General features: G+C 41.2%; 1 protein-coding gene across 6 annotated transcripts in view, besides 1 other annotated feature; it reads right to left on the reverse strand.

Annotated features, from left to right (window-relative positions):
• The window catches only part of RNF150 (ring finger protein 150), a 353094-nt gene that overhangs the window by 266383 nt on the left and 62529 nt on the right, over nt 1–24182 (reverse strand). For 2 of the 6 annotated variants that reach the window (NM_020724.2, XM_005263150.6), the window contains exon 1: nt 6136–7280. The exons of the other annotated variants lie outside the window; for them this stretch is intronic. In NM_020724.2, coding sequence (NP_065775.1) covers nt 6136–6619 — 484 coding nt within the window. In that variant the 5' untranslated portion in view covers nt 6620–7280. Of the gene's footprint in view, nt 1–6135; nt 7281–24182 lie in introns of those variants that run through there. 6 annotated transcript variants of the gene reach the window in all.
• Nucleotides 7099–7218: a silencer, noted in NCBI's record as "silent region_15715". NCBI's record gives its function as "represses an Ori minimal core promoter by ATAC-STARR-seq in GM12878 lymphoblastoid cells {active_cell/tissue: GM12878}" and the evidence as "EXISTENCE:reporter gene assay evidence [ECO:0000049][PMID:35858748]".

Consider the following 24182-nt stretch of genomic DNA (forward strand, 5'->3'; position numbering starts at 1 on the left):
TGTATCTTGTGAGAAAAATGAAGTGGGAACTGAGGCTCTTAAAAAACATGTTTCTTAAATATCTAAGTGATAGAGAATCACATACTCTCAATGCTTGGGAAGGCCCTTAAAGCTGTCACCCACTGGAAGTCCATCCTTAAATCCTGGGATCAGCAATTCCACAATGTTCCCACTCAGTTTCAACCTGAATGCCAGAGAAAGCTTACCCTTTCAAGAAAACCTCTTCCATTTCTAAACACTTCTATTCTTATGAATTTGTTTTTCCTGTGCTGAACCAAGTCTGTTTCCGTAACATCTCCTCACTACCCCAAGTTTGGCTACATAAAGATGGAGTCCCATGCACTGTGACCTTGGGGTTGAGGTAGGAATTATAAATGAACACGGCAGGCCAAGAGCCAGATGGTAAAAAGTGATGGAGACTTGGACCAACTGGAGGGCACATGGGAACAGTCAGCCACTGCTCACCTCCAGGTACTCTTTCCACTGGGAAATGCAGGCCCCAGTTACTGGGTTTTCTGATCAAGAAGCCAGAAATTGGGAATTTTACTAGAAGTATTCTAAGTTTTAAATACATAAAGAATAAATTTTAGAGCTGAAATACCTCTTAGAGATCAACTAAACCAAACCTTGTACTTTATAAATAAGAAAACTGAGGGTGAGAAGAGAAAAAGTGACTGACTCAAAGTCAAATGGTGAATCAGAGGGAGGTCTGGAAGAGAAAAGGCCCAAACATAAGGTCCCATTCTCCCATTACGTAATAGAGATGCATTCATGCAAGTCAACGATGCATCTGTTAACATACTCTGAAACAGGAAATCAGCCTTAGATCGCTTCCTATATCTATGATTAAGTAATCACTGCTCACATCTAGCCTTCAGAATACCCTTTCAAGCTGAAAGGGTATACAGAGCTGTAGCTCTAAGCACAGACCAGCAGACAGACCACCTGGGTTGCAAGCCGAGATCTACCACTTACTGTCTGTGTGACCAAGTTAGACAGTTTGCCTCAGTTTCCTCGTCTATCAAACGGAGACAGTAAGGGTACCTATTTCACAGTGTTGTTGTAAGAATTAAATTTATATACATATAAAGTGCTTAGAACATGCCTGGCACAGAGTAAGCACTATTTGGTCAATGTTATTATTACCCAGCATGCTAAAAAAATAAAAGAGAGAGCTAATCTTATCACTTAAAGGAAAATGTACAGCAAAAGTACACATAAATATTCTAGAAAAATGAGTCCTGAAGAAAAAAGAAAACTTTATTAAATTAAAGCAGCTAGGTCCTTTACAGAGTTTAAGGCATAGGTAGACTTCAGCAATCAAAGTAACGGCCATAAAGGTAGCATGAATCCATACATTGAACTCTGAGCACCCACCTATGGAGGAAGAGCCTCAGTAGATCTACTACATTTTGCCTCCAACCTTGGAGAAGTCTAGAATACACAGATATACTCCATCCTAGGCTCCTCCTTTCCAAGGGCCTAGCATGTTCTCCAGAGTTACTGCAACCATTTCTTCCCTTCCTCCATCTCCAAGTTGCCCTTAGGGACCTAGCCTCACAAAAGTTCTTCCTAGACAGCTAGATGTTTCATTTCCTGTTGATTATGTACTAGCAATAGACAAACAGAAAGATATCAAACACACTCTTTAAAAAAGAAAAAAATAAAACATACCATTTCCTCAACATCACAACTCAGTCACAAACAGCCTGCATACACAGACTACCACGTTTATCATACATGCCCTTGCTACGATGAGATTTCAATTTAAGCCAAAAGAAAGTACAAACTCAATAGGAGAATCTTAAATGTTCATCAATCAAAGGGAACTGGAACACCCTGTTTCAATTAGCTGAGCCACAAACAAATTGGCACCACTGCTCTGGCCTCTTCAGTATGAAAGGGTAAATAAGGAGTTCTTTCCCAAGGCTGCCAGGAACTCAGTGAGCCTCAGAGGTATGATGATCCAGTGTGTAGCTCCTGCATGTCGTTGTGTGTCACTGGGTCCAATGCTTAGAAGGGCTAACATTTTTTGACTGCTTTGTGCCAGCTACAGATTTAAACACTGTACATGCATTAATCCATCTAATTCACATAACAAGCAATCGAGGTATGGTGTTATCCTCCACTTCACAAAGGAGGAAACCCAAGACCTGGGAGGTTAACTTGCACAAAGATACACAGTGAGAAAGTAGTGCCACCAGGACACAAATCCAAGTGGTTGGCTCTAGAGGCTACACTCCTATTTAATTAGTGCCCTAAACTGCCTCTAGAAATTTCTGATATCATCATTTTCCTTAGGGTACACCGAAAGAAGCTTCACAGGCAGGCATCAGACCAGCTTTGAGGAGGTAATTTGAGTCTCACTGCCTTTGCCTATAACTGAAAGTTCACTTCTGGGGCTTTTACTACTTGGAAGATGCATTTCTCTATAGCTTTTTGCTATGGCCTTCTTGGTGCTCTTGCACTAAAGATACAGCCTTATGTCCCTTAATAGGGGACATATAAATCTCTGGTCCATAGACTTAAAAAAAAAGTGAGAGAAGCAGATTCTCTCTATTAATCACTCTCTCTTCCCTAGCATAAAAGTGTATGAGTTGAAAGTCTGGAAAAGAATAAATAATGGTGGGTGTAAGGTGAAAGGGAATAAAATGAATAGCAGAAAAAAACAAGACTATGTTAAAAAGTAACAGTTAGTCATCAGGGAAATGAAAATTTAAAACAAAATGAAGATGCCACTTCACATCCACTTGAATGGGCAAAATAAAAAAGATAGTAACAAATGTTGATGAGGCTGTGGAGAAATTGGAACCCTCAAACACTGCTGGTGAGAATGCAAAATGATGCAGTTGTTTTGGAAAACAGTCTAGAAGGTCCTCAAAAGATTAAATCATAGAGTTGCCATATGACTCAGAAGTTCCACTCCTAGGTATATAATCAAGAGAAATGTCCATACAAAAACTTGTACATGAATGTTCATAGCACTATTTTTCATAACAATTAAAAGGTAGAAACAACGTAATTTTCCATCAGTTGATGAATAAATACACAAAATGTGATATATCCATACAACGAAATATTATTTGGCAATAAAAAGGGTTTAAGTACTGACGCATGCTACAACCTTGATGAACCTTAGAAAGATTATGCTAAATCAAAGAGGCCAATCACAGAAGTCCACATATTATATGATTCCATTTATATGAAAGGTACAAAAGAGGCATTTAAATACATGAAGACAGAATGTAGATTAGCCTAGGGCTGGGAGTTGGGGAATAATGGGGAGTGACTAGGAGTTGGGGAATATTGGGGAAGTACAAGAGTTTCTTATTAGAACTAGATAGTGATGATGGCTGCACAACTCAGTCAATACACTAAAAGCCATTGAAATGCATACTTTAAATGAGTGAACTGCAGAGTATGTTTATATTTCAGTAAAGCTGTTATACTGGGGAGGAAAGTGACTTGTTATAAAGCAAAACTACTGGTCTATCCCAGGAGAAGTGGTGTCTTTTTGAATGAGAAGTTATAGTTACATAAGTGGCAGAAAATCAAAATTATTTAAGCAGGAAAAGAAAAAAACAGAAAACGTATATGAAAAGGACAAAACAATTTCTATTTAATTGAATTTCAAGATACACAAATGCATAGATGTTAAACGACAGGTTGCATAACACTAAATACAGACCTTCTCACCTGAAATCTATCAGTTCCAAAAATAAAGCATCTAAGGAAAGGTGATAGATATATCATCAGCTTTTGCAGTTTTTAAAACTTTTTAAAAACTGAATTTAAAAGTTCACAAATATGCAGATTTTCTGGTATGGTATCCCAAGTTCACAAAATAAAAATATTTGATTAGCATCTAAAATGTGCAGTTTCTCAAACTGAATTCAGAAATCTGACCTCAAATTTAACTAGGAAAAGTAAAGCTTTCAAGATCTGGACTACATGGAAGACACTGACAGCCAGACAAGAGCTGGCAGTGTTTGAGATTTAGGCAGAAGAATTTCAGAGTATAGTCAAGGGTTTACCATGCTACCCTGTCATGTATCTGCTCATAATGACACTCTAGCAGAAATCAATGCTAGCCTCTGACTGAAGTGAACAGAGTCTCCTAATGTGGCAAAATGTCAGAAGATAATATGGAGTTTCCTGGCCATTGGCAGATACAGCATGAATACATTTTTGGAAACAGAACAATTAGATAATAGACAATTTCCAATTTTTTTTTTCCTTTAACGTTCAAACTACAGTATTACTAAACTTCCACTCCCACTATCTTAATCAAGCATCATTTGTGTGGGAAATCTGCTTAGTGTTTTCTTTAAAAATAAGCAAGCCATTAATTGATCCAATGTGTTGGCAGTTCTAGAGAACCTTTTTAGACAGGAACAAATGATGCCTCTTACTTTATGTTCAAAGAAGTTGAGTTCAAGATTTCATGCATATGCACAGAGAAACAAAGAATCTCACAAAGTCAGCTAACAATCTTCTTGGAGTTTAAAGAACAACAAAAACAAAAAAGCTTCCTTCACCCCTCCTCCACTGAGGTTTTAAATATTAAGTAACATGTTTATCTAAAGATGCTTTACATGACTTACAGTGCTTTCCATAGTCCTTAACATCCTTGAATATCAAAGTTTCAGTAGTGCTCTTAAGACTCAAGGTGAGAGCACAATCTTTTCCCTTAGAAAACTGTCGAGCTCAAGAAAATATATCGAATATTCTGAAAGTGCTGTATTGTAACTTTTCTAAGTAATTGCCTCTCCTCCTCTTCATTAATTAACACACTACATTTTTCTGGCCTGTGTTTTAGAAGTCTGGAACATTTCCCCTCCCCACCTGTTTGTGTTAAGGTTGACAAATTTCCCTGACTAAAACAGCTGGTGTTGATTACTGGAGGCAAACCAATTGAATATTTCACTAATAGGTGACATGAGCTCTCGGAATGGAAACTTGTCCCCAAAGAGAACACCCCTACAAATGTAGCCAGAGCTTGGTGTTCCATTTCAGCAGCGTAACTATTTATTCAAATTTGGTTTTTAAAGAAAATAATGCTTTTGATTAGGAGACTCCACTCAGAAAATGCATCTGTCATTTTCTCCCCTCCTTCCGGGCACTGGATGCCACAGTCTCGGCCCAGAAACCCCTTTGGGGAAGGAGGGCCCACTTCTCAGGCACACAAATACAAGCAGCAAGCTCTGACATAAGGAGGCTAGCTTGCTAAAACTAGTGGCTTATGGACTTATGTTAACAAGCCTGGGGATGGCTTTTTTGGGGGGAGGGTGTTCCTACCACCAGGGAAACATTGCTTATGTCAGGCATATGCGGTATTGAGTTTTGGGACAGTAATGCATTTCTAGTCCTGGTACCTGCGATCATTAACAAAAGCTTATTCTCTCTAGTCTGAAATCCCTTCATTCTAGCCAGAAAGAAAACCTTCAGCATATTTAACCTCCCAATCAGGCAAAGGATAATGCAATAATTAGAAAAGTAGTTATAACTTTAGGGCCATCACACTCTTCTTGGCTTGTTGAGGATTGTTATTATTTACCATCGTGGCCACCTGTCAGTTTCTCTGGATGACAGCCTGGCAGAGCATAGTACTTTTAATATGATTAATGAAGTGCGTAAACCCAAAAGGGGAAACTCTCCCAAGTGCAAGTTCGCGGTGGTGAGCTGCCAGCAGGTAACCCTACCCCTCTCCTGATATAGCGCCTGCATCAGGGTATACCTGATGCACAGACCCAAGGGCAGTGCTGTGGTATCAGATCTACTGGTTCCAAACAGGTGCTGGGCCGGTCACTAACCAAGAACAGTATCTGAGCCCTACCCTCCAAACCCCACCTTCCAGGTCCCCCTCGGAAAAGTTAGCCCGCCACGTTGAACCCCTGTCCAAGCGGCGCTATGCCAAGCTCTCCGGCAGCCTCTCCCCTACCCAATACAGTTAATCTTCTCCTCTTTGTAAACCCCCCAAGTGACGCGGAGCAAAACTTAATCGGTCCAGGGAACCCAGACACGTCTTCCGCGCCGCACGGACTTCCCAGAAGGAGCCTGGAGGCAGGCGCTGGATCCCTCTAGGCACCTCCGTCCCCGCCGGCTCCCCTCCCCCGCGCCCGCTGGGCCACTCACCCGCGTGGGGCATGGTGATGGTCTCGTTGGTGTTGGAGCCCACGTTGAAGATGACCACGGCTGAGGCGTTCTGCAGGAACGCGTTCCGGATCTTATCCCTGTACGTGCAGTTGCCCTTGGGGATGAGGGCTATCCAGTTCTTGCCGCGGGTCGGGGCGGCGAACTTGGTGTTGGGGTCGCAGGCCAGGCGGTCGTGGGCCGAGCTGGCCATGACCACCTCCCCGCGGGCGTCCTGCTTGGGCGAGTGCTCTCCGTAGCGCCCGCACTCCGTCTTCTCCGTGTGCAGCTCCGCGCCGCCGCCGCCCGCCGCCCCGGCCCCGGGGTCCGGCGCGGGCTCGGCGTAGGTGATGTTCACGAAGGCGGTGTACCATTCCTCCTTCTCGGCCACGGTAAAGTCCAGGCAGAGCAGATGCACGAAACAAAAGGAAAGCAGCCATGTTGAGAGAGCCAGACTGCAGCACGCTTGGATGAGAGACATTGCCATCTTTATCCGCCGGGGCCCCCTCCCCGCCCCCGCGCCCTCCCTCCGTCCCGTCCCTCCTCCCCAGCCCCGGCCAACCCCGGGCCGCTGCCTCTCCTCCTGCTGCTGCTCACTCCCGGGCCGGAGGGGCCGCGGCCGGGACGCGCAGCCGCCGCGGGGACCGGATTCCGGGCGAGCGGATGGCGCTGGCCCCTTCCCCTCTCAGCTGTAGCGCGGTGGTTGCATTTTGCTTCTTGGGCGCCCGGGGGGCGCGGGAACAGAGGGCCCGCGGGGCTTGCGGAGGAGTCCTGCTGCCGAGCGTCCTGCTCCTTCGCCCGGCTTCGCCTTCTCTCATAAGGGTGGCCGGGGGCCCACGAACTTGCAGGGTGGCGGCCCTGCGCCCTCCAGCCCCGGCGGGGACGGGCACGATTGCTCGTAGTCTGGGGTGCTGCGGTGCGGGGTGCTGCCCAGGGTGTCCCGGCCGCCGCCACTGAGCGCTGGGGCGCGCGAATCCAGCTGCAGCCGCTGCTGCCCTGCGCCGGTTCCCTCAGGCTGCGGGCGCTGCGCTCCTGATCTCGCCGGTGGCTGCGCCTGGGCACGCACTTGCCGCGGGCGGGGCGGGCTTGGGGACAGTGGGAGCGAGCAGGCAGAGCGGAGTAAGCGGTCCGTGTGTGTGTGTCTGTATGTTTGTGTGTGTGTGTGTGTGTGTGTATAATGTGTGCGTGCAAGGAGGAGCTTAGTGTGATGTCAAAGCCCCTGGGATTCTCTTGCCATGTTCCCTTGGTCTCTCTTTATGGGCAGCAGCGACCCCTGTCGGGTCTCAAATTCAACCTCAATCGGCGACTTAATCTAGGTGGAGGTAAAGAGGAAGCGACCCCTCGACCTTTGAGTACGGGAATAACTTCCTGAGCGTTACATTTAGCAAATGTATGTGCCTCTCGTAAACGACCCTCCCGTTTGCTGGAAGTACTGCCGTGAGCTCCCTGATTACCTGTCCTAAGGCCAAAGTGTAAGGTGGTTTGGTATTGAGGTCCTTCCAAAGCTACCTCTGGAATACCTAGGGCAGTGGCTATCAAATCTTTAGTTTTAAAACTCAGACCGATGGGTCCTGCCACAAAGTTTCTGGTTCAGTAGATCTGTGGTAGGGCCCCAAAAATATGCATTTCTAACAAGTTCCCAGGTGGTGCTGATGCTGCTGGTCTAACAACCATTCTGTTAAGATGGGTATAACAATGGGCTTCCTACTGCCCACCTGGAAGCAAACATCTAACATTCGTTTTCTTATAGAATAGGTGTTTTGTCACTCTGTAAGAAGAGAAACCGGGTGAGACATTTCTGGACTGTGTTTATTCTGATTGTCATGGCTGGGAACAGGGGACTCGCAGCACCAACAGGCAAGGGAGGTTTGTTTGGGTTATTGTTTATAGTGCGCTCTCCAACTGTGCATAGAGATTACAGTAGTCAGCAGACAGTACAGTCCCCCTAGTGTAGTGTTCTTAAAACTGTAGTACAGCAGAGTGCCTTACCAATTAGACGTTTTGGTGGTGGATATCCTTTCCCTTGGCTTGAGATGCCTGCCATATAGTCTCTAAAAATATTTGTTTGATGGTTCTCTATCATTTACATTGTGTTTCCCACCTGATGCTCTTTCAGAGAACCCAGGACCCATTCATGATTTAAATTTAAAAAATGAAAGGCTGCCTTTTCCCCAGGACTTTAGCATGTTTACAGCTCTTCGTTAATGAACGTCCACCAGTACAACTTCTCTTTTTCCGGCAGCAGTACAAACAGCTGATGGCTGTTAAGGGAGGGCAAAGAGCCTCAGCTGTACCCAAATTAGAAGCAGGCACAAGAAGAACTACTTAGAAGAATTTGTCTCTATGGCATTTGATGTGCTGAATTTGTATGTGTTCCTAGCTTATTCATTTTAGAAAATAGGCTTCTAGGCAATTGGGACAGTGCTTTTTATAGCGCTTACTGCCAAGGAGGCAAAAGTGGAGACACCTGGCTGCTGGTTCCTGAACCACCAGAGATCTGAGGGAGGAGTCCACTGCTAGAAACCCCCGGCTAGGTTCTGAGCAGTTGCCTTTAGCAACCCACAGTGTTTCCCCAGTCTTCTTTATCGCTTAGCATTTTTTTTCTCCAGCTGGAAGACTTGGAGAAGCTATGTTATTAAGAATGTGTGACTATCCCTTACCCCTTCTTTCCTTTGGAAAAGTTAGGTGCTAAAGAGATGACAGGGTCAAGGAAATAGCATGGCTGGAAGATTGCTTAATTACAGGGCCATTGGGCTAATAAGTAAAACACTGAGTAAAATAGGAGCGAGGTTTCTTACTGTTGGAGAAGGAATTTACAAATATGGAAAGAAAGAGAGCTGTAAATAACCTTGAGGCTTTAGGGTGGATTAACAATGAGTATGAAATAATTTTTCAAAAACTATATGTATATATATTTATGTGTGTGCACACATATATACCATAGCTCTCTCCATTCAGAGGCCAAAAGCAAAAGGCACATCCAGTGGCCAGAAGATCTTCGTTTCTAAATAGCATCCTCCACGAAAAGCAAGCTGGCTGATTATAGGGCTGACACTGGGAAAGTACAGAGTGAGCCCATAACCTCTTGAAAGGAAATGCTCCAAGCATGATGGGAGTATGTCAAAAAGACAGAAGAGCCAGCTGGAAAGGGCTCCCACTGGCCAAATCTGGGACAGTCTGAACATAAAATAAATGATCCTAGTAACTGATTACAACCTATCTAATAAGGCATGAATCCGTGCTAATGTTAATACAGAAAAATGATGGAGTAAATAAATAGGGAGGAACAGCTCTTCCTTATGGTAGAAATACCTACTGATAAGGATTAATGGATATAGAAAGTCACCATTTGACAAGAGTGTTGTTTGATTTAGGCAGGAGTCATCAATGGATACTAAGGCTGATGAGTAGGTGTTTGATGTGAAGCAGGATATTAGCCTAGTCTTGAAGTATCTTCTGAAAAATACTTATTAATTCAATAAATGGTGAATTTATTGAAGAGGAACCTGGAAGACACCAAGTTGAGCAGGTGATCATGGTGAACATCACCATTTGTAGAATGAGTCCTATCATGTACCTCCTTATGAAATGCACTGGAATTACAGTGTCATTTCTGTCATGTTCCTGAAAAGAACAATACACGGCATGGTCTAGACATAAGGAAACAATGGATAAACCCAGGATGAGAGGCAACCTTCAAAATGAAAAGTTTATATTCTTTAAAACTCTTAAACTTATGAGAGACAGAGAAAAACAGAAGAACTGATCCAAATTGAAGAGATTTAAGAGATGTGACAATTACGTACAATAAATATCCCAGATTGGCTCCTAGACCAGAAAGGAAAAATAAACACTTGGCAAAAATTCAGTGAAATTGGTAGATTGGATGGTATATTTTATCAATGGTGAATTCCTGACTTGGATATTTATATTGTAGTTTTGTAGAAGAATGTCTGTGGTTGGGGGGCTATGTACATTGAAGAATTTAGCAGTGATGAGACATTCTTTCTGCAACTTACTCTTAAATGGTTCAGAAAAAAAAATGATTATCTATGACATATTGGTTTCCACTAGCTACACTTTCAGAGAATTTGAGCCCAATTCATGATATTTTTAATAAGTCAAAAGTTCAGTTTTTGAGGGGACATTAATATGTTTCCAGCTTTGTGCTAATGATTTTCTGGCAACCCTGCTACTCTTTTTTCCAGTGGCACTTCTTGAACAACTGACAAGTGGTATTTGGGGAGAGCAATGAGCGCTTGCTATACCACCCCCCAAATATATAATACTGTTGTAGATAAAAACATCTCTGTATTTCATTTCTTCATCCAACAATAATTATCGAGCACCTGTTAACGCATTGGTGTTACAGGCACTGGGCATCCAACTGAAACAAAACAGATAAGATTCTTGCTCTCATGGAGTTTATATTCTGGAGTTGGAAAAAAACAGAAATTTCTAAAAAGCTTTAGATTATGTCAGATAATGACATCTGCTATGAAGAAAAAGGCAACAGAGTATGGAAGGGTAACCTATGTCACATAAGGTATTTTCTGTCAGGGTCAGCTGCTTTGTGAGGTGACTTTTGAACAGAATATTGAAAGAAATAAGGATTCTATGTGGCTATTTGGGGGACTGGTTTTACCAGGAAAAGTACAAGTACAATCTGAGTATAAGTACAATCTGAGGCAAGTACATGAGTACAAGTGTATGAGTACAAGTACAATCTGAGGCAAGATTGTATTTGATATGCAGAAAAACAGCAAAGAAACCATTAAGACCATTAAGGATGGAGATGAAAGTAGAAACTGAGTGAAGAAAATAAGATCAGAAAGATGGGGAGCAAATCATATGTGGCCTTGCAGTCAAAGGTGTGAACATTTTGCATTTTATTCTGAGTGAGAGGAGAAAACTTTGGAGATTTTTGAGTGAGGAAGTATATGTGGTCTGTTGTGTTTTAAAAGATTTAGTCTGACTGTATCCAAGCAAGTATGGGAGCAAGTAGAGCAATTAGGAACTCAACAGTAATTCAGGAAACAGAGGATAATGACCTGTGTCAGGAAGGTGGCAATGAGCATGGTGAGAAGTGATTCGATCCTCAATATGTTTTGAAGGTGGGATAAACAGTATTCTCTGATGCATTTGACATGTAGTATGGAAGAAGAAGAGGAGCCAAGAAAGACACTACAGTTTGGAGCCTAAGTAACTGGCAGAATGGAGGAATAGTCATTTTCTGAGATGAAGATGATTGCAAGAGAAGTTGATTGGGGAAAGAATCGAGAGTTTGGACAGGTTCTATTCAAGGTGCCTAGAGAGACATCCAAAATGGCAATTTCATGCAGTTTGCTTCAGCATTGAGTCTTGGGGGGAAGATTACTGAATGAAAGCACATGAATAATTTTTAAGTTATCGACACATACACAATCGCCAAATTACTTTTCCAAAGGTTTGCCTCACCATGCAACAAAGTAAAGTGAGCTCCCTAAAATAGTTTTTAAAATATACCCAGAAGACAGCTTAGTGGTGAGTCCTGGCCTTTGGGGGACTTTCTCCACCAGCCAGGCAGCCCAGATAAGATGGAATTAGTAGGTTTCCAGAGGGCTCTTTGGTGTACAGAGATCTTATTTCATAAGAGGTAGAGGCAGATTTGACTTAAATACATACAGCATACGTTTCTGAGAAACAACAGCAGCCACAGCAGAGAATGGCAGTGCCCATTTCTCTGAGTGTCAGCAAATTGAACTTTCTTTAAGAAACTCTCAACCTTGACGCTGCTTTTGCTTCTTGCCATTAATGTGCACAGCATGTTCAAAGGGAATTCTACCTTAGACTTCTAAAAAATGAATCATAACATTTAAAAATACAATTCCTCCTACACATACATATTTTAATGGTTTAATTAAAATTTTATGTGGAGAAGATTCAACATACAGGGTTTGATCTGTATTATATTTTTCATTTTACATTAATTGATTGGTGGATTGCATTTTTAATGCAATCAAACAGGCATTTTTTGATGCCTGTTTAATTCTTCAGCATATGTCCTTTATTCACAATAGGCTCCTAGATAACTGTCCCCATCCCTGAAAAGAGGGAACACTCTTCAAAATATATTCCACATAACTGCAAATAGGGAAAGAAATCCTCAAAATATAATAGAGAATTCACATTACTTTATGTGTAAAGGCTGGCATTATTATTTTTTTAATCAATTTTCCTTGAAGTAACATACTGTGACATTTAGTTTCATATATCCTGTCCTAAAGATATTTCCTCTTCCCAGTCTTCCATGTTTGTTTGGAAGGGGAGGTACAGTGCTGTAGTGGTGGAGTTGGACATTTGGCACCAGGACATTTGGCGCCAGGCAATCCAGGATTAGAATCTCAGGCCTGCCACATGGGCAATTTTAACTGTGCTGAGCCACAATCTTCTCTTCAAAGTGGAGTGATTACATCTCCCAGGATTATTGGAAGATTCCAAAGGACATATATGTTGGCCACATGGAAGAGAAGAGATTTCAAGGAGGGGTCAGGACAAGAAGAGTAGGAGGGAACAGAGTCTAAAAATTTTAATATCCAAAAATATTTAAGGAAAGTCAATTTAGGCTGGGTGTGGTGACTCAAGTCTGTAATATCAGTTTTGGGAGGTGGAAGCGGGAGGATTGCTTGAGGTCAGGAGTTCAAGACCAGCCTTAGGCGACATAGGGAGACCCTGTCTCTACAAAAAGAAGACAAAGAAAAATTTAGCTAGGCATGGTGGCACAAGTGCCTGTAGTCCCAACTGCTTGGGAGGCTGAAGCAGGAGGATCACTTGAGCACAGGAGTTCGAGGCTGTGGTGAGCCATGACCAATCACGCCACTGTACTCCAGCCTGGATGATACAGCGAGACCCTGTCTCGAAAAAATAAAGTAGGGTATTCATTTATGTTTATATGGTTGCCATCTCTGTGTTAGGCCCTGCGCTGACGCTCAGAGGAATGGCAGGGCTCCTCCCATCAAGTTTAGAATCTAGTTTTAGCGACAGATGTAATCATCTAGGTGAATTGTGAAGGTGGAGTGTGGTCATTTTTAAAACACACATATAAGAATTCAGTGAGAGCAGTAATTCCACATAGAAATGAAAACATTTAGGGATGATTGAACCAGGTCGATTCTGCATCACAGTTAGCCCAGATAGCCTTACAAAGGAGTAGGCTTGCAGAGCTGTTCAAGAAAGATGTCCTGCTTATGACTATATTCTCAGCGTCTGCTGCAGTGTCTGGCCCATAGAAGGCATCAGTAAATGTGTTGAATAATAAATAGTAATGAAGAGCTGCAGTTTTTGACCACTTAATGTACATGCAGGCACTATTTGTTCTAAGCACTTTATTAACTACATAGACTGTCTTAATTAATTCTCAGGATGATTTTATGAGGTCATTACACAAATGAAGAAACAAAAAGTTAAGAGTGGAGTAACTTGCCCGAGGCCATGCAGGTAGCAAGTATAAGAGTGGGGGTTGTAATCCTGGAAGTCTGACTCTAGGGTATGATTTTAAGGGCTATACTACCACATTGGTAGTCTTTTTGTCTCAGATATTCATCATCTTGTTCATTAACTTGACTCTGATTTGAACTTCACTTCTTTTTCCTCTGCTTAATTTCTTTGTTCATTTCAGCTCTCAAGCCTTCACTTCATTTTTTGCTTTCGTAAGTTTTCTTAGCATTGGTGGTGGGGCGCGTTGCTTCTCTGAGGCCAGGTACTTGCTGTACGGGCAAGGTATATGAACTTTAAGAGCCCAGCAACCCCTGCAGCTTCTGCTACAAGTACTGCAGATGGAAATGGAAGGTTTTGGAAACGTTTTTTTAGAGAGTATGCATGAAACTAATAATATTCACTTCTTTGCTCTTTGTTCTCTTACTAACTTCTTAAATTTCAGAACAATAGGATACCTTGCTAAAAATATCCTTTTTTCTTTTTTGCTCCTTTGAATTATCAAGTGACTTCTTTTTATTTCAGTCTTTGATACAATTTTGACATTTAATTTGGGCTTCTTTCCTTTTATCATAAACTCTTCCAAACAACTTTATGTCATAAAATGTTTTGGGAGGCTAGATATGGAAAGTCAGCTTGGAAAAACTCATTTGAGACTTGAGCCAAAACCCACAGAAAACTCTCACCACAATACATCTGTTTCCTTTTTCTTCTTATTTTTTCACATAGTTGTTCATTTTTTTTTGTTCTAAATCATTACTTTTCATTGAGTACATTTTAAAAACTATCTGCTTTTCTTTTTCTGCTCTTTGAAAGATCATCTTGTCCTTTTTCGCCAAAAAGCTGGAATGAGGGAGGTTGAACTAAAAGCCAAGACATTCAGAGCACTGTGCACTGACTGAGCCGGACAGCTGTTAGACACAAGCATCTGTAAATTGTACTGTGTTAAAATTACCACAAAAGAGGGGAGAGAATCCAGGCCCTCTTCCTGCCCTTTCTATTTGGTTGTTTAGAAGGATGTTTTCATAAATACTTTCCCTTTTATGATGAGGCCCATTCCCACAGGGCTGGTAAACAGCAATCTAGGACAATTGAGGGAGACAGCGGTAGCACTGCAAACACAGGTGTCAGAGTTTTAATCCCAGCTCTGTGCCTAATTTGCTATTTAGGTCAAGACTGCAGCATGACTAATCACTCATTTTGTCATGCTTTCCTATTGGTACTAATTCCTAAATATCCACTGAGCCATAATCACACAGAGCCAGTCACAAGACTACAGCATTAATGTATTTCCATTGACTAGTTCTCTCACCACATAGTAAGGACACTGGAAAGGAACAGGGGACAGAAAATAGCATTTACTATTTCCCATAAGCCAGGTCCTGTGCTGGTTTTCATGTTTGTTATCTACACTGAATTAGTAGAGCAGTACCTTCTGTAAAGTTTCTCTTCTGTAAAATGAAGGTGTTGAAATTGATGATGTTTAAAGACCTCTCAAACTTACATTCTGTGGACTTAGTGATTCTGTTAATGAGGTCATGTACAATTTTGTATTTCCATTTCTGTTACTGTTGCTGCTAGGCTTGACTCTATTGGAGTCTACAAACGAATCTGGATAAGGTACTTGGAAATTCTGGTTGAGGAAGCTAGCTATGCAATACCCTTGACACAAGAACAGGTTTCCTCTCTCTTTGAAAAAGTTTTCCTCCTTGAGCTTATTAAGAATAAGATTGTGAATGGTTCATGCCTGTAATTCCAGCACTTTGGGAGGCCAAGGCGGCAGATCACTCGAGGCCAGGATTTCAAGACCAGCCTGCCAAACATGGCACATCCCTGTCTCTACTAAAAAATACAAAAATTATCTGGGCGTGGTGGCACACCCCTGTAATCTCAGCTACTCAGTGACTGAGGCACCAGAATTGCTTGAACCCGGGAGGTGGAGGTTACAGGGAGGCAGAGGTTGTGGTGAGTCAATCGAGCCACTGCACTTCAGCCTGGCCTGGGCAAAAGAGCAAGACTCTGTCTCAAATAATAATAATATAATAAAAAAACTGTGAGAAAGATGACACCAGTGTGGCCCATCAGGTCATCCAGTTCCACCATGGAGAACATTGGGGTGACAAAAGTTAAGGACAATTCTCTCTCGCATTCATATAATTATTTTTATATTAGCCAAGATGGCACCACTGAGCTGATCAGTTTTATTTTAAATTTATGATGTAAACTTCACATTGGCAGCTGTAGGAATGCTACTGTGTTTTTTTAATGGGTTCCCTAGAATGTCTCCTTTGAACGTTTTATACCTTCCCTCCTGTCATGCCTTCCCCACACTCTTTAGTTTCTTACTCTTAGCTATGATATCACACCAGATTTTCTTTAGAAAAGGAAGCCTTTAGAATCAAACTCCCCATCTTCCCACCACCTGATCCTAAAACCTATCATCTACTTTTACCCCAATGTATCCTTTTCTGTTGTTTAAATGAAAAAGACACCCTCCAGCCTATCAAAGCCAACTCTCACTTTTTCTCAGAATCTTGTCCCCTCTGGCCTTCTCAGGAACTTAGTCCTTACCATGATCTCCTCCCTCTTCCACATCAGTAACCTCCCTGTTAACTGGAATAGTCCTGTCGGCACACAGACAGGCTCTAGTCTCACCTGAAAAGAATCTTTCCTGTTCTTCCAACAACTTCATTCCTCCTCCCTTTTTATAGCAAAACTTTTCAAAAACATTGGCTATCGTAGTTGTCACTCTCTTCCGTCCTTTACCCAGTATATTCTGGCTTCTGCCCAGGCCACTCACCGAAACTTCTGTGGTCACTGGTGACTGCTGCTTTGTCAGATTCAATGGGAACACTTCTTTCCTCACCTTACGTAACCTCTCAGCCATATCTGATGCGGTTGACCACGGCCTCCTGTCTGACACACTCTGCTCTCTTGATTTCTTCAGTGCTACTCCTTGTACTCCTAGGAAAATGTTGGGGTTCCTTCAGGCTCTGACCTAAGGATTGCTGTGGTCTCTTATCTTCATTTTATATTATGTAGGTGATCTACCCCCATTCTAGGTATCTCTCTTTTTTCTCTTTTTTTTTTTTTTAGATAGAGTCTGTCTCTGTCACCCAGGCTGGAGTGCAGTGGTGCAGTCTCGGCTCACTGCAACCTCCACCTCCCAGGTTCAAGCAATTCTCCTGCCTTGGCCTCCTGAGTAGCTGGGACTACAGGCGCACACAGCCATGCACAGATAATTTTTTGTATTTTAGTAGATACGGGGTTTCACCGTGTTGCCCAGGCTGGTCGCAAACTCCTGAGCTCAGGCTATCCTCCCTCCTTGGCCTCCCAAAGTGCTGAGATTGCAGGCGTGAGCCACCGCGCCTGGTCAGGTATCTCATCTTTAAACTGATGATTCTTGAATTTATTTTCTTTGAGCCCCAGACTCGCTTATCCAGCTGCCTAATTTACATATCTATATTGAAGATTTATGAGTATCACAAAATTATGTCAAATACTGAACTTTATTCTCATGCCAATCTTCATCAAACAGTAAATGGCAATGCTACCCACTCCAGCTAAGAGTTTTTTATTCCTTGCTTTCCCTCACTGCTCCCTGCCCCACGTCTAAACATCTAACCCATCACCAGCTCTGTTATGTTAATCCAATCTTCATAATAAATCTCAAACCTACTCTTCTCTCCATCTCCCCATTACCACCTTAGTTCAGTCCACCAGGCTCGCTTGTCACAGTGAATACAGTAGTCTTCTAACTGGACTAAGGGCTTCCCTGGTCCCGGAGTCTCCACACGGCAAGTCAGTGGACTTCTTAAAACGTAAATCCCCCACTTTAAGTGAGCCTGTGCCTTTTCCGGTCTGCCCCTGCCTTTTCTTCAGTCTGGTACTTTCTTTCATGACCTCAGCCACACTGGTTTGTTTTTGTTTTGTTTTTTTCAGATCCTCACATGCAACAAGCTTTGGTTCCACTCTCTTCAGGGCTTTTGCACATGGCATTCCTTGTGTCTGGAATGCTCTTTCCCTCACCCTTCAAAGGACTAATGCCTCTTCCTTTATTTTAAATGCCACCTTCAAAGAGGTACTTTTCCTGACCACCCTCCCTAGAATAAATCTCCTTTCAACTATTATATTTCACTCCTCTTATTTTTTCTCATAGAGCTTTTAATAACAGCATGCAATTGTTTTGCCTATATACCCTATTTACTTGCTTTTTATACTCTCTGCCACTGAAATGGTATTTATTGAAATTAGGGTTCAGAACTTTATATTCAATGCTTATCATGGTCTGGCTCATAATAAACCAAGTAGCAGAAGTTGCTGGGGGAAAAAAAACCCACAAAACTTTTAGTGAGGGAAACCCAAAAATCCCTATCATATTGGATGCAGGTAGTATTTACTGTATATCCAATATGGATTGGATGTGAATTCCAACCACTATTTGATTAAATAAGACTTTGTGATCTGTAATTTGATAAATTTGCTCAACAGTCATTATTCCAAAAATATAATCCTTATCCTCCTAGCACATATCAGACTAAGCTTTCCAATCTTCTTGCCAGAAGCTATGCCACACTGATAAAGACTGTGTTTTGTTGAATTAGTCTTTAATTTGGCAATTGTCAAACTCTATTTGCTCGCTTTGGAGTCTGGGCCTGAGTTACTGTTTGCTTTTGAGGATTCTAGTCCAGTTATGTGGAGAGATCGTGAATTCTATGCAGGAGAATTGCCTTGAAATCAGACTTTGTGGCTAATAAGCTCAATTTGCTCTTGATGTTTATTAATGTTTTTAGGAGCATGAATGCTCTTAGACTTCAGAAACTTTAGGAACAAAAACGACTCCTCCCCTCAGTGAGGAAAGGTAAAGATGAGCTAATTATAAATATTCTTAATCAGAGGAAATGTAGGAAAAAATCCTTACTTTGGAAAATATTTTCTATAGGGCTTCGTGGTTCTTTCCTAGATACTAGACACAAGTGTTATGAAAGCAGGGACTTTAGTTATATTTCCTAAGTCTTAAAAGGCCTGGAAGTAGATTCTCAATAAACGTAGAAGGAAGGAAGGAAGGAAAGGCATGCTGATTAAATGAACCAAGATGCTCCAGTAACAAAAATTATGACATCAGCTAATAATTTAAATTTGATAATAAAATATTTATATCTATAGGACAGATAGCTTAGGCAAAAGAGTAACACATGGTCTGGACTTCATGTCTGGAAATTTCCCTGACGTCTAGATTAAAATACAATCTTGGTCATATAAGACATTTACCTCATATTTGCATTTCACTTATTCCAGAAAAAATGAGGATTAAAAAAATATTAATGGGTAATAACAGTAACACTTCAATTCCCAAACTAGTCAGTGTTTATAATTGGCTAAATAATTTCCTGAACTTAAGTGTGTTACATAAGTTTTTTAATGGCAAATAAGATGGTGTAGAATTTAAATAGTTACAAAATGTCTTCAAAGTGTCAAAGAAAATGAACATTGACCTATGAAGAAATAAATACAAATTGAGTTAGAAATATTTTTACTTAACATAACATTAAGATGAATAAAAATAAGCAAACTGTGGAATATTATGAAGGCTAGCTTAATATGATGCTGGAATAAAGAAATAACCTATTATAAAGATAAATTTTTGTAGAAGGATCTCAACAGGCTCTATAACTGAATATACATAGATCATTTCCAGTTAACAGAGTGAGTATGTAGGTGTAGGGACTTGTATATGCACATGTGTGTATTCATGTGAATAGTATAGCTGACCATTTAGCATGGAATAAGTTCTGTAGGCTCACCAATGATTTACAGCCTGTTTCTCTTGCCTTACTTGGCATGGCTACATTAAACTGAAAAATCTTTGAAATGAGGTGCCATGAAAAGAAAAAGAAAATCTCATTTTTGGATGTATAAACCAAAAAGGAATTGTATCAATTGCCCAGCCCATCTCTTTACCCAGGACAGAAGTCTCTCATGGGTCAGGGCCTACTTGGATGACTATATCTTATGGAAGATCCAATGTTCAAGTTCTACTATGGTTCAGGTTCCCCACTTTTATATCTTGTGCAGATTTTGAGGAGTCAGGTTGTGTCTCAGGGTATCATTGTGTCAGGACAGATATAGCATCAAACACGGCTGCCTCAGTGTGTGTCTGGAGTCAAGCATGTTCAGTGTCCCACTGCCTTCCACCTACTGTTCATTGCTACATAGCAAGCTTCTCATTGGTCCCTTTGCCTGTTACATTACAAGGAAGAATTTAACTTGACTGGTTAAATATTTCCGGGACTTGGGAAGAGAAAATGTGATCTAACCAACAATGAGATCTGCTACATTCTGTTACTTTGGGATGGATACATGTTTAATAAATCAGAAATAGGATCGGTTCTATTGACTAAGCTAAAGTGGTTTTAAAATTCATGTCACATTGCAGATCCAAATAATAGAGCCTTTGACCCTGTTTTCCTAGGGAGGAAAAATGTCTGCAGGAGAAACATTCCTTTTACAGATTGAAACCTTCTTCAACGTTTTTTATCCTATCTTCCAGTAAGAATATTCACAAGAGAATTATTGTTTGCTGAATTTAAGAAACATTCACTACGTCATGCAAATAACTTTAATTGCATTCTTTGGGAAAAGACAATCAGCATATGAGTATGATCCCATAACATGAGCCAACTATTCTTAAAGCATAGGTTGGGCCATCTTCTTATTTATGAAAATGGACTGCCTCCTGGGAATATTTAAGAGTAATATGCAACAACTGCTGTAATTATCAGCAATATGTCTCAGAAAAACTTGGGGAAGCCATAATTGAAGAGTTTAAAAAAAAGAAAGTTAAGGTTTGTGATGAGGTTACTGTACTCTCATCCCTTTGCCAAGTTGCCATTGAATATTAGCCAAACTTTGGAACACTCTCAGATATGAAGCCCACCAAATGACCTTGCTGGACCCATCTTGTAGGTCCTACATCCCACTCAAGGCAACTTTGTTATCTCCACTAAGAGAAGTATACAATCTGCTGGAGGTTTAAGGAATCAATCAACAATACCTTCTTTCCACTCTCAAGATTAGAGCAAGTTGAGAGATAGGACTCAAACAGATGGCAGCAATATATTAGCTTTATTACTGATAAAAGCTCTTTAGAGAATGTGACTGTGTTTTGCTTTTGTTTTTGTTTATGAGACAGTGTCTTGCTCTGTCACCCAGGCTGAAGTGCAGTGATGCGATTATGGCCACTGCAACCTCCCGTGCTCAATCGCTCCTCCCACCTCAGCATCCCGAGTAGCTGGGCCTACAGGTGTATGTCACCACACTCGGCTAATCATTGTATTATTCACAGAGACAGGATCTCACTATGTTGCCCAGCCTGGTGACTGTGTTTGTTATGATAAGTAATACTGGTTTGTCAACAAACCAACTCTAAAATTTCAGGGACTGAACAAAAGTTAATTTATTGTTCATATGTAGTCCAGTAAGGATGTTCCTGCTTGGCAGGTGGCCTTCAGCATGGCCATTCAATGGACCTTCCATAATGTGGCTCCATCCCTAGAGCTTCAAAGTCTGATGCTGAAGTTTCTACATCAGTTAATAACTGGGAAAGAGAGAGCGTGAAAGATTACACAGGAGGTTTTCATGTGGCAGATTTGGAAGAAGTGTACATAAGTTAATATTCCATTGCCTAGAACCCAGTCACATGGCCTAACCTAACTGTAAAGCAGGTTGGGAAAGTTGCAAATTTAGTGTATCTCTATGTACACAAGGCAGAGGGAATGGATTTTGGTGAAAACATAGCAGTCTTGGCCAAAATAACTGGATCTTAGCCAAGTGGGCTTGCAAATATTTCCTCCCAAACTTAGGCAGACTAATCCCTCAACAGTAACAGCTCATTCCTACAAGGGTAGACTCTGCCTCACTAAGCTTAGAGCATAGCTGAGAGAGAGAGAAACTCAGAATGCACCCTCTCTGTGGGCAGGCAGATTTCAGAGGGGAGGGGAAAAGGCTGATTGAACATTACTAATTTTTTCTTCCAATCTCATCACTGAAGGAGGAAGAAAAAATCCAAAAGTGCTACTCTAGGAAAATCATCTACTCAGAAATATGAGGCGTAGAGAATAAGTTTTCTCCCAGGAGTTGAATAAAAACTTTTAAACCAATTCATGTCATCCTTTATTCTTTAAAACCATATATTGGTTGGTAACATCCTTAAAATATTTTCTTGTGTCTTTCCTTAATTTTAGGATATATTATAATAATTGGCTTATTAAAATTATTAACAAAAGATTATTTAAATTACTAATAAAATTAGTCTTAATACAACTTTGAGACTCTCTACTTGTGTTTCTTTTGAAATACTATCTCAATAACTTTGTCAAATACAGGATGTATTTTTTGAAAATCTTTGTAAAATAAAATAATATATAGGATGATGGCTTCCTCTTATAGATTGAGCATGAGCAAAGTTAGTTCAGATCATCAGTGGTCTGTTACCCTGGACCTAGAATATAAACTATGCTTCCCTTTAAAAAGAAAACTCTCATGTAAGCATTTTATTGAATATGGTAGACTTGTGAGCAATAATTTATAACATGTTTTTATTTCTGTCAGTAACTGCCCCTGGACAACAGCTTTAGCAGGTTCTTAAAGCTTTTCACTTTTTTTTTTAGATGGAGTTTTGTTCTTGTTGCCCAGGCTGGAGTGCAATGGTGCCATCTTGGCTCACTGTAACCTCTGCCTCCCAGGTTCAAGCAATTCTGCTGCAGCCTCCCAAGTAGCTGGGACTACAGGCATGCACTACCATACCCGGCTACTTCTTTTGTATTTTCTAGAGACAGGGTTTCACCATGTTGGACAGGCTGATCTCAAACTCCTGACCTCAGGTGATCCACCTGCCTTGGCCTCCCAAAGTGCTAGGATTACAGGCGTGCACCACCACGCCCAGCGCTTTTCACTCTTAAATGGTACCACGTCCCTGTTTCTTTTTTTTCCAGGTATTAAAACTGTCTAATCCATTCCATTTTCAAATTTTTGGTCTCCTTTCTTCTTCTATCTCAGTCCAACTCAGTTTAGGCTCAGAAGCTGCAGAAGGGGGTTGATTCCATCAGCTGGTGGCTTTATCATTCCTCCTCAGCTCCTGGCTTTTGGTAGTCCATCCATAGAGCCTGTCTTTATTGAAGTCACCTTGCCTTGGGGATTGAGTGGGGAACAAAACTGAACAGAAGGTTTAACTTGAAGCTCACAGTGTGGTACTGAGAGACAAACATTCATGTAGTCAAGTAAATATTCTTTAGGGTCTGAAACTATCCCTGAACATTTTTAAATTTTATCCTTTTGTGGGGATTTCAAGAATCATCAAAAAATACATATAAGCATATTAATTATCAGTTGGGTAACCTACAACCATGCAATAGTGTCCTGATACAGGTTTCAAGGCCCTCACTTTTTTTTTTATTTCAATAGGTTTTTGGGGAACAGGTGGTGTTTGGTTACATGAATAAGCTCTCTAGTGGTAATTTCTGAGATTTTGGTGCACCCAGCACCCCAGCAGTGTACCCTATACCCAATGTGTAGCTTCTTATCTCTTGCCCCCCTCCCACTCTTTCCCCAGAGTCCCCAAAGTCCAATATATCATTCTTATGCCTTTGCATCCTCATAGCTTAGCTCCCACTTATGAGTGAGAACATATGATGTTTGGTTTTCCATTCCTGAGTTACTTCACTTAGAATAATAGTCTTCAGTTCCATCCAGGTTGATGCAAATGCCATTATTTTGTTCCTTTATATGGCTGAGTACTATTCCATGGTATTTATATATACCACCCTATCTTTATCCACTCACTGATTGATGGGCATTTGGGCTCATTCCATATTTTTTGCAATTGCAGTTGTGCTGCTATAAACATACGTGTGCAAGTATCTTTTTCGTATGACTTCTTTTCCTCTAGGTAGATACTCAATAGTGGGATTTCTGGATCAAATGGTAGCTCTACTTTTAGTTCTTTAAGGAATCTCCACACTGTTTTCCATAGCAGTGGTACTAGTTTACAATCCCACCAACATTGTAAAAGTGTTCCTTTTCACCACATCCATGCCAACATCGATTTTTTAAAATTTATTTTATTATGGCCATTCTTGCAGGAGTGAGTCAGGGCCCTCGCTTTTGGACCAGCATTTCTGACTGCCTTGGTGCAGTTCAGTCCTTTGTAGTTGTCTTGGTCTAAGGACCAAAGAATGAAATAGGTGTAATGCATAAATGATAAATTATCACTGAAGAGGGGTCAAATAAAATCATAGCATCATTTGCCAATAAAGTTTTTGCAATGATTCTGAAAGAACAAAAATGGTGGGAAAATATACTATTTTGTGCATCTATCACAAAATAGTCCAAAAGGGCTGACATATTAGCAATTGGTACCATATTCATATTGCAAGCAGCATCTTAGTTTCAGCAAAACAAAATAATCAGATAATAGCCACTTCTTCCATTCAGTTGCCCAGGGAAAAAACCTTGGAGCTCTCTTTGACTCCTTGCCTTCTTTCATACTCATATCCAATGTCTCACCAAGTACATCAGAT

This window comes from Homo sapiens, chromosome 4, assembly GCF_000001405.40.
Source record: "Homo sapiens chromosome 4, GRCh38.p14 Primary Assembly".
Taxonomy (NCBI): domain Eukaryota; kingdom Metazoa; phylum Chordata; class Mammalia; order Primates; family Hominidae; genus Homo; species Homo sapiens.